Below are 13375 nucleotides of genomic sequence, written 5' to 3'. Positions count from 1 at the left end.
ATTCTCCTGCCTCAGCCTCCCGAGTAGCTGGGACCACAGGCGCCCGCCAACACGCCCGGCTGATTTCTTTTTTTTTTTTGTATTTTCAGTATTTTTAGTAGAGAGGGGGTTTCATGCCAATCTATCATTCTTTTTAGTTTTTGTCTCAGGGATTTTTTTTTTTTTTTCAAGACTGAGTCTTGCTTTGTTGCCCAGGCTGGAATGCAATGGTGCAATCTTGGCTCACTGCAACCTCCACCACCTGGGTTAAAGTGATTCTCCTGCCTCAGGGTGCCGAGTAGCTGGGATTACAGGTGCGCACCACCGCACTCAGCTAATTTCTTGTATTTTTAGTAGAGATGGGGTTTCACCATGTTGGCCAGGCTGATCTAGAACTCCTGACCTTGTGATCCACCTGCCTTGGCCTCCCAAAGTGCTAGGATTACAGGCATGAGCCACCGCGCCGGGCCTGACTCAGGGATTTTTAGTAGTTTTTGTGCTATGGACCCCTCTGACAGTCTGGTGAAACCCATGGATTGCTTCTCTGATTAATATTTTAAATGCACAAAATAAAATACATAGGACTACAAAGAGAAATAATTATACTGTAATACAGGTATCAAAACTATAGAAATCAAATTTGTGATGTAGTAACGTATGTACTTATTAACTCATTAGAGAAAATGATCTAGTGGCAGGTCTTATATCTATCCACTGTGGTCTTGAAGTAGTAAGGAATGAAAATGATCTTTCTAGATACCGTAACCACTGTAATGTGACATGAAAAAATGTGCAATTTTGGTTGGTGTCAAAGTCAGGTACTTGTTTTGCTGCCAATATTAAAATAAGAAAAGAAATGCTATCAGAGATCAGTGAAAATAAAGCTGTCATTCATTTTCCACTCAGGTTCCTGGATCTCTGAATTCTGCCTATAGGGCCACGACCCCAGGTCATTGAACACCTGGAGTGACAGAAGAAATAACCAGAGGTAAACATTTTGCTGCCTCAGCCAGGATAACCCAAACTCCTTTTGTTTAGGATTTCTAGGTTGGAAAAATTTGCAATCTCTTATTAAATCATGAACCTTGTGTAGCATTGTTAGGAGGAACTCTACACAAAGATCTTACTGCAAACCATATTTTGCAAGTAGGTAGAGGTATTGTTTGTAAGAAAAAATATCCACAGAACAGGTTGGGTCACGTTTGTGGTTTTTCTGTGAGGTTAAATTACAGTAATTATATTAACAACATATGCTGATTTGTTGTCGATTAAATAAAAATAAGATTTGAAGATCTGGTTTCTGAGTTAGAAAATGAATTTCTTTACTAAAAGATCTTTCCTTTGGCAGAACATTTAGGAAGCAGGGGCTTCCTTGCCTGTAGGACATACAACAGAAAGCTGGGTTGAGCTGAATTTTCCACTGCAGGTCATGCCCTTTAATAACGTCCTCTTGGAAGTGAAAGGCCAGCTGGCTATGCTTGGCTAACTTGCCAGCAACCCTTGGACTAATCTCAGTTTTACCTTCTTTTGTACTTAGTTATATCCCCCATTTTCTTCCATCTCCCTGAATACTCTCTGGACATAGGGCTTAAAAATCTGTTTTCTCTTCAAAGGTTGTAGAAGGATATCACTGTTTTAAAATTGTAATTTTCAGGCATCCTATTTTCTAAGTGATTTTGCATTGCTATTCTCTGAAATTGATCTAAATCCACCATATCCTTTGATGACATTAAATCTTCTGATATTGATGACTCTATGGGTAGGTGCCTTGTAGAAGTGAATACTCTGAGAGGGATGGCAGGGGGACAGCTGAATCTCATAGCGGTAAGTGTCCCTTCTTTCATTTTTATTCTCAGACCAGCAGTATCAGCATTACCTGAAAACTTGCTAAAAATGCAAAAGCTTAGGCCTCACCCTAGACATACCGTATTAGAAACCCTAGGAGTGAGGCTGGGCACAGTGGCTCACACCTGTAATCCCAGCACTTGGGGAAGCTGAGGCAGGTGGAGCTTGAGGTCAGGAGTTCGAGACCAGCCTGCCCAATATGGGGAAACCCACCCCTCTACTAAAAATACAAAAATTAGTTGGTCATGGTGGTGCATGCCTGTAGTCCCAGCTACTTGGGAGGCTGAGGCATGAGAATCACTTGAACCCAGGAAGCAGAGGTTGCAGTAAGCTGATACCATGCCACTGCATCCCAGCCTGCATGACAGAGTGAGACTCTGTCACAAAAAAGAAACCCTAGGGGTGAAACCAAGCAATCTGTGTTTTATTAAGCCCTTTAGATGATTCTGATGCTTGCTCAAGAATCACTGGTCTAATACATTAGTGAAGAATTTCTTGAGTTACTGACTTCTGAAATGAGTCTGAAATGATTGATCAGAGGATTGCTTAGAATACTAAAGGATGGTACATACTCATCATCCCTTTGCTAGATGTAAAATGAGAAAGTCTTTTGGATTGACTGGAAAAGATTATTTGCACTGTGCCAAATGCACAGGTATGCTGTTTTGTCAGGAACTACTCTTGAAGGCTTTACAAATGTTGTCAAGCTGCTTTTAGACTGGCAGTGGATCTAAATGGTAGCCCAAGAGACAGCAGAAGGTATGGAGGCAGAATGGGGAAAGGAAGTGTGTGAGTAAACCTTGTCCTTCCCAAGATGTGGAACCATGAGCAGCTATATCCACGAGGACAGTGTTGGGTGGGCAACCCCAGTCTTGGCTGGGAGAAAGAGATGCCAGAAAACATGTGTGAACTCCACTCATCGGGTCACTGATAGAAGGTCACAGAGCCTGTCATGAAGCAATTGCAAATATCTCCAACAATAAAAGTAATAGTAGCTCGCTTAGTACTTACAGAATGCTTACTCTGTGATAGGCATCACACAAAGCAATCTAAATGGGATCCTTGCAGGAACCCTGGGAGGGAGATGCAAAAATTATCCACATTTTGCAGCTAAAGAAACAGATACAGAAAGGTCATGTGGAAGACCACACAGCGAGCAATGGGGGAGCCAGTTTGGGAACCCACAGCCCAAGGCCAACATGTGTTACCATCACCATGTCATTGTATCTTCTGTTATTCACAAATACATATGAAAGAGCCAGAATACGCCCAGTGAAATAGGGAATATGCAGATCTATTGCCAGTCTAAAAGCAGCCTGACAACATTTGTAAAGCCTTCAGGAGTAATTCTTGGAAAAATAGCACACTTGTGCATTTTGTGTGGTGCAAATGATCTGTTCCAGTCAATCCAAAGGGCTTTCTCATTTTGCAAAGGGATGATAAGCTTTACCCACTCATTAGCCAGGCTGGTATCATTCAAGAGAGTCTTTTGAAAGCCAAGATATGTCATTCATTTTTAAGCCAATATAGATATCTACGTTTTAAAATAGGTTAGGAAAGTAATTGGATGGAGTTGTAGTTCTGCCATTAACATAAAATGGTGGTAACTATATTGACAACACTTTATGGACAGGCTGCTTGTTTTATATACATGTATGTATGCTTACTCTATGACAGGCGTCATGCTAAGCAATCCAAACAAATTATCTCACGTGATCCTTGCAAGAACCCTGGGGAGGAGATGCAAAGATTACCTACATTTTGCATCTCCCTCGCAGATGTATACATACGTATATATATATATATATATATATATACACACACACACACATATATCTATATATATATGTGTATAAATATAATCCAAAGATCTGGTTTCAAAACAAAAACTACTTCCTTCGCTGAAAGATTTATCTTTTCTTTTGAACACTTAGGGAGCAGTGGTCAACCCATCTGCAAGGTCTAAGTGAGCCACTGAGCAGCGGGGAAAATGGAAACTCCTATTCTACAGAATGTGTCTCCCTCATTTAGAAATTTCTCACTAGGATCTTGACTCTTCTTAAAGAAGCCCTTCCCATCGGGGTAAGGCTAACCCCAAGGTGGGTACTGTAAAGAATGAATACAACAAATCACAAAGATGACTCACTCACTGAGTCCCCTTCTCCAGGCTCCATGGAGCTGGGGAGGCTTTGTGAGAGAGTCGTGCCACCGGCAAGGGGGTTTAGACGCATTAGAAGAAGAAGACTGTGTGCCAACTCTCATAAGTAGGGGCAGGTTGACCCTATTCTGTTGGTAACTGATAGACAGGTAGTGACTTCTGCAAGGGTTGGCAGAAATCCTTCTGAGTGGTGTATCCTTGCTGAGGAGACAATTGAATCCCAACAGTGGTCTGGTCTTTGAATCAGTAATGGAGGCATTGGAGAGGGTTAAAGAAGGGAGGAAGCCCTGCCACGTGTGCAGTTTAGAAAGGGGTATTTTCCTACCCAAGAGAATTGGCACATATTCCTTAGCTTTCAGGACTAGGCCTGTCTCCTGGTATTGCAGTGGGTCTTTTCATCTTCCATAGCTCTTGAGGCTGCCCCAGAGACCATAGAGGTTTCATGTGCCCTGTTCCATAGGTCTCAAGTTCTTCCATAGGAACTGGACAGAGGCTCAGGAAGGACCCTCACCTGCTCCTGTGGGGGTGAGCGGAACTCCTTGGTCTTCCGGGCAGTCAGGGCCGCAGACATGTTCAGGGCCTGCATGAGCTCATTGTAGCGGAACTTCTGATTTGCCTGCAGCTTGGAGACATAAATGTCACCAAATGCCACAATGGCCTCCACTCGGTGCTGCAGCTCACAGTCGCAGAGATAGCTGAGGAGCTCACACATCTGCAATGAAAGTATTATATAGATAACACTTTGTGTACTTTGGTGAGGCTGCTAGCATGCCCATTTTACAGACAGTAGCACTGAGACTTAGACAAAGTAAATTGCCACACAGTAGCCATAAAGCTGTTACTCAAATCTTCACCATTAAGTCGAAGGCAATAACAGAAAACAGCTCACTAAAGACAGAAGAAATCTGCCTATGGAGAGAGAGAAAATATTTCTAAGAAAATAGTTTCCCAGGAAGCTGAGTAGAAAAACCAGCTCCAGATCATGCACGTGAATGCTGCCTCCCTTTCTGAAATGTTCCAGTCCTGGAGGATGGAAAGTAGAGATGTTTGTCCTTCTCTCCATCTTTCATTGTTTTTTGCACTGTTTTTCTGGGATGAGTTGTTTTGGATTGTTATTACCAATCTTATCACTTTTAGAACTTATTCAACAACAAGCACCATAATCATCAAGCACTCTTGGTCAGTCACTATGCCAAGCACTTGACATACCTTACCTCCTTTAATCCTCAGTGTGTTCCTGATATTTTGATCAAAGCAGAAGATCTATTAACCTGCCTCCACTTAACCACCTGCAGCTTACCTGCAGCTTGACGGATTCGGGTAATCGAGTCTGCAACAAGCCTTTGACAGGAGCCTCCTTGCCGGCCTTCTCCCCAGCCTCCACAGCCTTCTCCTCCACCTGGGTCACTTCCTCCTTTTCTGCTCCCTCCTCTGTCCCCGCACTATGCTCCCCAAACACAGAGGGATCAATCAGGAGGAGGATCTGCCGAACATCATCATCATCAAACACGCCCATGACCAGCAGGGTTCCAATGAGTTTCAGCACAGGCACAAACTGGAACTCCACAGACCCCCCTACAGGGTCTCGGATGTGGGCCCCGCTGCACTGCACTGCCTCTGTCAGCATACTCAGAGCCTTCGTCCTGAGACTCTCCAAGGGAATCTCGGGGCTCTGCTTTTGGTGATCCTCACCAGTCACAACAAAGCAAGGGGTGGAGAACCTGAACCCGGGCTTGAGACATGTTCTCAGGCCCACCCCAGGCAGTCCATGCCTCTTGGACTCGTCCGGGAAGAGGCGGATATTCCTGGTGGTGCTGGTAATGGGGATGATGTACTCGTTCTTCATCATCAGCTTCCTCTCCTTGGCGCTGGCCAGGTGGATGCTGATGAGCAGGTCATAGAAACCAGATCGAAGGAGGCCGGGGAGGTACTTGTTGTCAATGGCATAGAAGAGCTGGGAGAGGTCCACGTGGCTGCACAGGGCGTAGGCCACGCGGCTGTTTCCCAGGGCGCACACCGCGCTGTAGAGCCTCAGCGTGTGGTAATGGAACCGCATCAGGTCCTCCTGCTCACAGAGCTCCAGGATATCCACACACCTGAGGACAGGACGAGCAATCAGCCACACCAGGGGGAGAAGAACCCACCAGAATCCAGCTATTTCATCCAGCCCAACAAAGGCAGGGTGGGTGGAAGGTTGGAGGGGTCTCTGCCACAGTTTCTCTTATGGCTTATCATGCCTCTCTCAGCTCTGGTCCGTATTCCAGTTCCTAGTACTCCACTGTATTTAACTACAAGGCTCTCAAAAGCCTGCAAGACACTGGTTTACCAAATATGAAAGTCTTCATTATTAGGAAAAAATCCGAAATTCCCAAACAGAAAACATTCACATATATGAGAGTGATGACTTGGTCGTCTTACTTGTAGGATCAAGCAGATGTTTCATTTCCCTCAGAAATGTAAAATCTCCTCAGAAAATGTAGATTATGCTTTCTGTCAGTCTACCGTCTACATCAGGGGTTCCCAATCCCGGGGCCATGGACCAGGACCAGCAATAGATTTTCATAGGAGTGTAAACCCTACTGTGAACCGTGCATGCGAGGGATCTAGGCTGCATGCTCCTTATAAGAATCTAACGCCTGATGATCTGAGGTGCAACAGTTTCATCCTGAAACCATCCCCTCTACCCCCTCCCCCAGCCTCACCCACCACTGTCTGTGGAAAAACTGTCTTCCATGAAACCAGTCCCTGGTGCCAAAAAGGCTGGGGACCACTGATCTGTATCATTTGTATAAAGTCCAATCTACCACTATCCATGGGGTGTTCCTCCAACGACCTGAAAACAAACATACTTGTTTTGTTTTCACAAACATACTCTGCACTCTTGTCCAGAGAGGAAACACCTTCCAACCTGAAACCAATTAACATTATCCAGTTGGCTCTCTCTTTCTTGACTTAGAGGTCTGTTTGTATGTTGCTCCCTTGTTTGTGTGGGTCCAGGGCCTCGGCTCTAATCTCTGCTTAGATTTTTCATTTAGTCTCACGACTCCTCATGGATTTGAGGACCCTGCAGAATTGACTTACTTGGCTGGGCTCCTGGTCTTTTCTGCCCCTTTCCTGCCATGGCCTGCCCTGCTGCTCGTGACCCAATGGGACACCTAAATGGGACCTATGCAGGTGTCAAATACCTCAACCCTTTCCCATTGCTCTGCTTTTTTATTCAAAGAGGTCAAGGGATGGCAATAACCGTAACATTTATTTCTTACTATGTACAGAAACTGTACCAGATTATACTTATACAATCTCATTATTTTCCTCCCAGAAACCCTTTGGGTGAGCATTTCTCTCACTGTGTAGATGAAAAGAGCAATGTTCAGAGTACATAAGTAATGTACCCAAGGCCACAAAGCCAGAAAGAGAGAGCAATGGGATTGAACCCCAGCCATAATTAATAGCACCTCTTAGCAAGGGGAGACCAGGAACCTGATTCCTGATTCTCTAAGTCAAGCTAGAGTCTTCCCCTTCCTGTCATAAATGATGCATATTTCAAGGTAAACTAGTTTTTAATTTAAGGCATGGCACTGTTCCTTAATACCAGGCACTAGGAGCTGCAACAAAGGCCCTGTGGCAGGCACCTCCTAGTGTGTTTCCTGCTGTTTCTGAGTAATGAAAGTGGGAAGGAATAGAAACTGAGGCACTGGGGAAATCAAGTCATACTGGGACTGAGCAGGATCCAACACAGATGCTCCTGGTTTCCTTCTGGGCTGGCTTGGCTCTGCCTCACCTGCCCCTCAGGCCTGCCCCTTCCTTCGCGGGCCCCTCTGGTACCTGTTCTCCTCGGGGATGTGGAGCGCCATCATCTGCAGGGGCTCCAGGCACTGCACCACCCAGCCGTGGCGCTCGCTCACACGCTCGGTCTCCACCTTCAGGAAGCTGTTGGGCATGCGGCTCCAGAGCACGGGCTGGATGGTTTGGACGTCCAGCCGAGGTGGACACTGTGGGACTGGGTTCTTCTCTTCACTCCTGAATATGGCCGCTGACAGGGGCATTGCGTTCTGGGGCACGTGGGAAAGGCATTGGAAAAGAAACACACAGTTGCTGGATGACGCACCCAGACATTTTAACCGATATGGCCAGTATAAATTAAAGAGGGACAAATGTATCCAGGGATCTCTAAGGGCTTTACCAGCATTAATTAGCATTTCAAATAATGGGTTATATGAGCATTAATTGATTCTTTCAGCACCCAAAAGAGGTGGGAAAAGGGGAAGATAAGAATGCATATTCTACCATCTGAATGCCACAGGAAAGGGCAGGGCCTGGGGGTGGGGGGCTTATGGGAAGTGAACAGGCTTCTCCCATCTTCTGAGGCCTGGGATTTTCCCCCTAATGGTTAGTGCTGCTTTCTCTTGTCATGGCCATTAGATGAGAGGACAAATAAATACCTTCAGCTTTCCAAGTTCAAACTGAAACAAAGAAGTACTTGTAGGCTGCAGGAAGACTGCTGGAAACACTTTGGTATTAGGCTCCACCTGGAAATCAAAACAAATCGAAAGCTTTGCCCAGAGCTGGACAAACAACACAGCTGGCTCAGCCATTGGGTGTTTTGGTCAACAATCTCATTCCAATGACTGCTAGCTGTCTGGTCATTCTCCACTGCTCAGAAATTCGCAGAGACCAGTTATCTATCAGCGGAGATTGTCACAATTCCACACCTTAAACAGTGTCTCCACTCAGGGCTGAATAATCTCAGGTCCTTTCATTTTTTCTCTCAGATACCTGTAGCCAGTAGCTTCCTCCAGTGCACAGGACAGGTAGGTGTGAAGCTAACTCCCCACCAAAGGCATACCTGCTGCTGGTCACTGAACAGTGTGATGTGCTTGCTCTTCACAGAGCCCAAAGACACGTGGCACATGGCAGCACCATCATTCTCCACACCTGCCCATAGGAGATGATAACTGGGATAGGGTGGTGACTCAGGCAAACCAACATTAGTCAAGCAAGCCCATGGAGATCCCATGGTAGGGTTTCTCAACCTTGGCACTGCCGACATTTCAGGCCAGGTAGCTTTTTGCGGTGGGCGCCATCCCATGCACTGTAGGATGTTGAGCGGCATCCCTGCCCTCTGCCCACTGCACATCAGCAGCACTCTCTGCCCCCACCACAGTCATGACAACCAACATGGTTCCCAACATTGCCAAATGTTCTGTGAAGGGCAAAAGTACCCCTGATTGAGAAACACTGCTCTACAGGCAAAGACTGTGAGGTCCCTCACTGGAATAACAAAAGGACACTGTCTCCCTCTCAAAGCCCTAATTCTCCCCGGGTTCCTCTGGACTCCTCTCCATCCTCTCCACCCCCTTTGCACTCTTCAGCATTCCAGTTCTTCTGTTGAAGGGTTTGGCATTTACTGATTGTGCTGCAGCTGCCACTTAGATGAAACATTAGATTTATCAGTGTACCACATCAGGAGCTCCAGGTATTACTTGCTCCCTTTGATGGAGGAGCAGCCTCTGAATTCCATATTACTAAAGTGTTTTCAAGAAAGTCACTGGAGGATGATGGAAGACTACATAAAGTCTGCTCACACACTGGGACTTTAATTCCACCAACTGAAACCTTTTAGGTTGAAGCAAATATAAACATTAGGAAATTCTTGCAACTCTCCCCATCTATAAATGAGGGGATGGCAGGTGTGCTGGACATACCCTAAGGTGACCCCAATGGGTCATCATTCCCCTAGAACTTGTGTCTTGCTTTCAGCAAACAGAATGACAAAGATGAAGGACCTGTCACTTCCTAGATTATTTTATGTAAAACTTCATCTTGGTGGACTGGAGAGAAAGCTTCTCCAGATGACCTTGGAGATGTGAGCAGCTATACTGTTAGAAGGCTTACGAGAGGGCCACGGAACAAGGAATTCTTGGGGGCGGAAGGCGGGGAGAGTGGCCCCTGGCTGCAGCCAGCATGAAAACAGGACCTCAGTTCTACAAATGCAAGCAATTGAATTCTGCCAACAAGCACGTAAGCATGGAAGAAGATACTGAGCTCTAGAAAAGAAGGCAGCCTGGCTGACACCTTAACAATATCCTTGTGAGACCCTGGACTGAGGACCCAGCTACACTGTGGCCAGACTCCTGATCCATAGAAATCATGGGCTAATAAATATATGCTATTTTAAGCCGCTAAATTTGTAATTTGTAATGTGACAACAGAGAATGAGTATAGTGAGTTTTCTTTTTGTCAAAGCAATTGTCACAGGTTTTCTTTAAATAATGAACTTCCTCAATGTATTTAGACATAAGAGTTACAAAACCACACATTTTTATGGCTGTGACTTAGAAGATTGCATGATTTAGTGCTATCATTTGTTCATGATGAAATAGGCTGGATTGGTTAAACCCCAGACTTTCATCCAGTACATGATCCTTCTAGTACACAAAAGTGGCCTCACATTTCAGGTAAAAATATTTGATTTATACTGGATGTTCCATGGACGATATGAAGAGATAAGTGCCAGTAAAACCAAAATGTTGGAGTAGACTGCTAGTACTGCCTGCCTCTGCCTGAAATAAGCTTTGTAAATGACTTTCAACAGATAATGATGTAGTACCTATTATATACTTGCTTTGTGCCAGACCCTGAGTTCATGGTGATGAGACATGAATAGGAAATTCTGATTTGATGTTGTTCTGACTTTAGCTACAAGGCAGGAGTCGTCCCTGGGCTGGCTCCCAGATTTCTCAAATGCCCAATATGTGACATCTAGAACAACTTGTAGGCCTCAAGTCACTGCAAACTGAAGGGAGCAGAGCTCCTGTGGCTGAGGAAACTTCATCTGGACCAGTAGGAAGCCCATGCGTTTCTGCTAACAGGGAGAGAGAAATGCATTCAGTCGAATCACACCAGTATAGGGAGCCATAGCTTGAAGAGGGAGTTTTATTTTCAGGTCCCTCAGGACTGGTTCCTGAAAACTTCATAAACTGCCCAAACTCCAGGGCTCTCCTCAACCCTCCCTGCAGAAAGTAAGTGCTTTGAGAGCATTTAGGATGCCCTGGGATAGGTTTATTTTCCACCACGCAGAGTATAGTCTCACATGATAAACAAAGGAAATGTCTCTTCGATCACTAAAACAAGAAAAAAACACAAGTGTGGGCTCATGAGGGTGTAATAAGGATAAAAATGGGCAATTGGTGGTGTGGTAAGCAGGATTCGAGAAGGCCCTCTGGGACCCCTGGTGTTACTCTTATGATCATGCTATGTTGCACGGCAAAAGGCATTCTGCAGATGTAATGCAATTGTACTAACCATTTGGCCTCAAGATAGGGAGACCTTGTTGGCCTTTTCAAATTGCATGAGGCTTCTAAAGGCAGGAGTTTTCCTGCTGGAGGAAGAAGGGAAAATCAGAGAGAAAAACTGGACGTGCCCTTGTTGGCTTTGAAATGGAGGGGGCCACGTGTAAAGGAATGTGGGTGCCCTCTGGGAGCTGAGAGTGGCCCTGGCTGATAGCCAGCAAGGAAACAGGGGCCTCAGAATCTACGACCTAAGACCCATAATCTCAAAGAACTGCCAATACCTTGAATAAGCTCAGAAGTGGATTCACCTTAGAGCCTCCAGATGAGCCTGGTTCAGGCCCAGGGCACACTTTGTGTTTGGCCTTGTGAGAATCTGAGTACCCAGTCAAGCCTGCGGAACTCTGAAATAATGTGTGTTGTTTTAAGCTGCTAAATTTTGTGGTAACTTGTCAGGCAACAATAAAAAAAAAATGCCTACAAGGGGATTTCCCAGCCGTGGGTCAGTCTGGCAACACATACTCGGTGAGCATTCACTAGATGCCAGGTACTGTTTCATGCATGGGGAGGCGGCAGTGAGCACAGGAGAGGGCCTCTGCCCTCAAGGAGCTTACCTTCTAAATGAGGAACTTACATGCCCATGGATTGCGCAACCAGCCCAGATTTAGCACTGCCGTGGTATGCCACTGACAGTTTCCCTTTTGTATTTGAGGCACCTTTCATCACTGGCTGATCTGTTTTGTCCTTGCAATAATGGACATTCTTTTTCTAATCATGTGTGAAGGTCATGGCACAGGAATGGGCCTGAATTGAAAGCTAACCCCTCTTGTAAATCCAAACCTCATAGCTGCCTGTGTCTCAGACTGGTGTGCCTGGAGTGGCAATCACTGAGGAGTATCTCTTGAATGTAGATTTTATTTCTCAAATTCGCCACTGATTATATTAAGTGGACAGAAAAATGTGTTCAAATTGTTTATCACTATTTAATGGGGAGGTCTAGAAACATTGTTTGAGAGACTCCTTCTCTCATTATTTTGGTTTCTAGTCCTTTCTGAATCTGAAAGCCAGTGTATAAATATTGCTGGACTGTTCTTCTTGACATAATTGAAAAATGAAAATGGCTACAGCTGTGGAATAACAACGATCCCACTGTCAGGGACCAAATGCATGGCAGGACACGTTACTGTCTCGCCTGGAATGAGAAGGGGGCTGGCTGGGTGTGAACCTCTCAGGTTTCTGGACAGAGTCCTGATACTGTCTCCTTTGCGGCAGCATTCTTAAGGGCAAGAGTCAGGACTGGGATCGCTGAGCAGGGTCATCAGGATTTCTATGCACAGGGTGGAGGAAGGCTCTCCAGGAGGTAGGGTACCAGCACCCAGCCAAAAGAAGACAACTGACCAGCCTATGTCACCCAGAAGGATGGTGAAAGGTGGGCTAAAGCTGTCACAGTGTCCTCCTCTTCAACATCACAGGTTCTTTCCTGAAGCAGGCAAGTCACTGCTGCTGCAAATGCCATTTTAAAAAATTAATTATTTTTTTTGAACTTCCAAAGATCAGCTAGTCTTAAAAGTTATGAGATGCTTTAGCGTCCTCTGCAGCTCAGGGAGGACCCTTCAGTTAAACTCATTTCTAAAGTTAATGGGAAAAAGCTAATGGATTTTGAAGGACAGCAGTAATGTATATAAAACATTTCTCAGGGGATTTGGGGGTGGAGGAGATAGAATCATGAAAAAGTACTAGAAGAATAATACTTTACTTTCTGCCTCAAAGCCTGGCTTTGTGAGTGCATCTTTCTGGAAATAGCTGGTTGGGCCCCAGCTGCTGAAGCAAGCGTGCCAAGTGGTGATGATTCCACTTTCTCCCAGGAAGAGGAGGAGGTGCAGAGAGGGTCATGCACTGCAGGAGGTGCTGGAGAGACAAGGTGGCGGCCTCTGTGCCAACAGGCTGCTCCCCGCCCCCAGGAAGGGTTTGGTCCATCTGTTCTTAGTCAATGAACATTTCAGATGGGAGGTGGCTACTCTGTCTGCTGTCTACCTTACCCCCTCTCTCCAACCACAGGCCAGAGAACTGGCTGCCAAGAGGCTTTTCAGCCTGAAGGCTGTAA

General features: G+C 45.6%; 1 protein-coding gene across 20 annotated transcripts in view; it reads right to left on the bottom strand.

Annotated features, from left to right (window-relative positions):
• The window catches only part of RYR3 (ryanodine receptor 3), a 555136-nt gene that overhangs the window by 197872 nt on the left and 343889 nt on the right, over positions 1 to 13375 (bottom strand). For all 20 annotated transcript variants that reach the window (XR_001751370.2, XR_001751371.3, NM_001036.6 and 17 more), the window contains 4 exons: positions 8425 to 8511; positions 7808 to 8034; positions 5283 to 6078; positions 4494 to 4694 (listed from right to left, as the gene is read on the bottom strand). Coding sequence is in view for 18 of the 20 variants with exons in the window: in NM_001036.6 (NP_001027.3) it covers positions 4494 to 4694; positions 5283 to 6078; positions 7808 to 8034; positions 8425 to 8511 (1311 nt within the window). In the remaining 2 variants the exon portion in view is untranslated. The remainder of the gene's footprint in view (positions 1 to 4493; positions 4695 to 5282; positions 6079 to 7807; positions 8035 to 8424; positions 8512 to 13375) is intronic.

The sequence above is a fragment of the Homo sapiens genome, chromosome 15 (assembly GCF_000001405.40).
Source record: "Homo sapiens chromosome 15, GRCh38.p14 Primary Assembly".
Lineage (NCBI taxonomy): Eukaryota > Metazoa > Chordata > Mammalia > Primates > Hominidae > Homo > Homo sapiens.
This window is presented reverse-complemented; position numbering and strand designations above follow the sequence as displayed.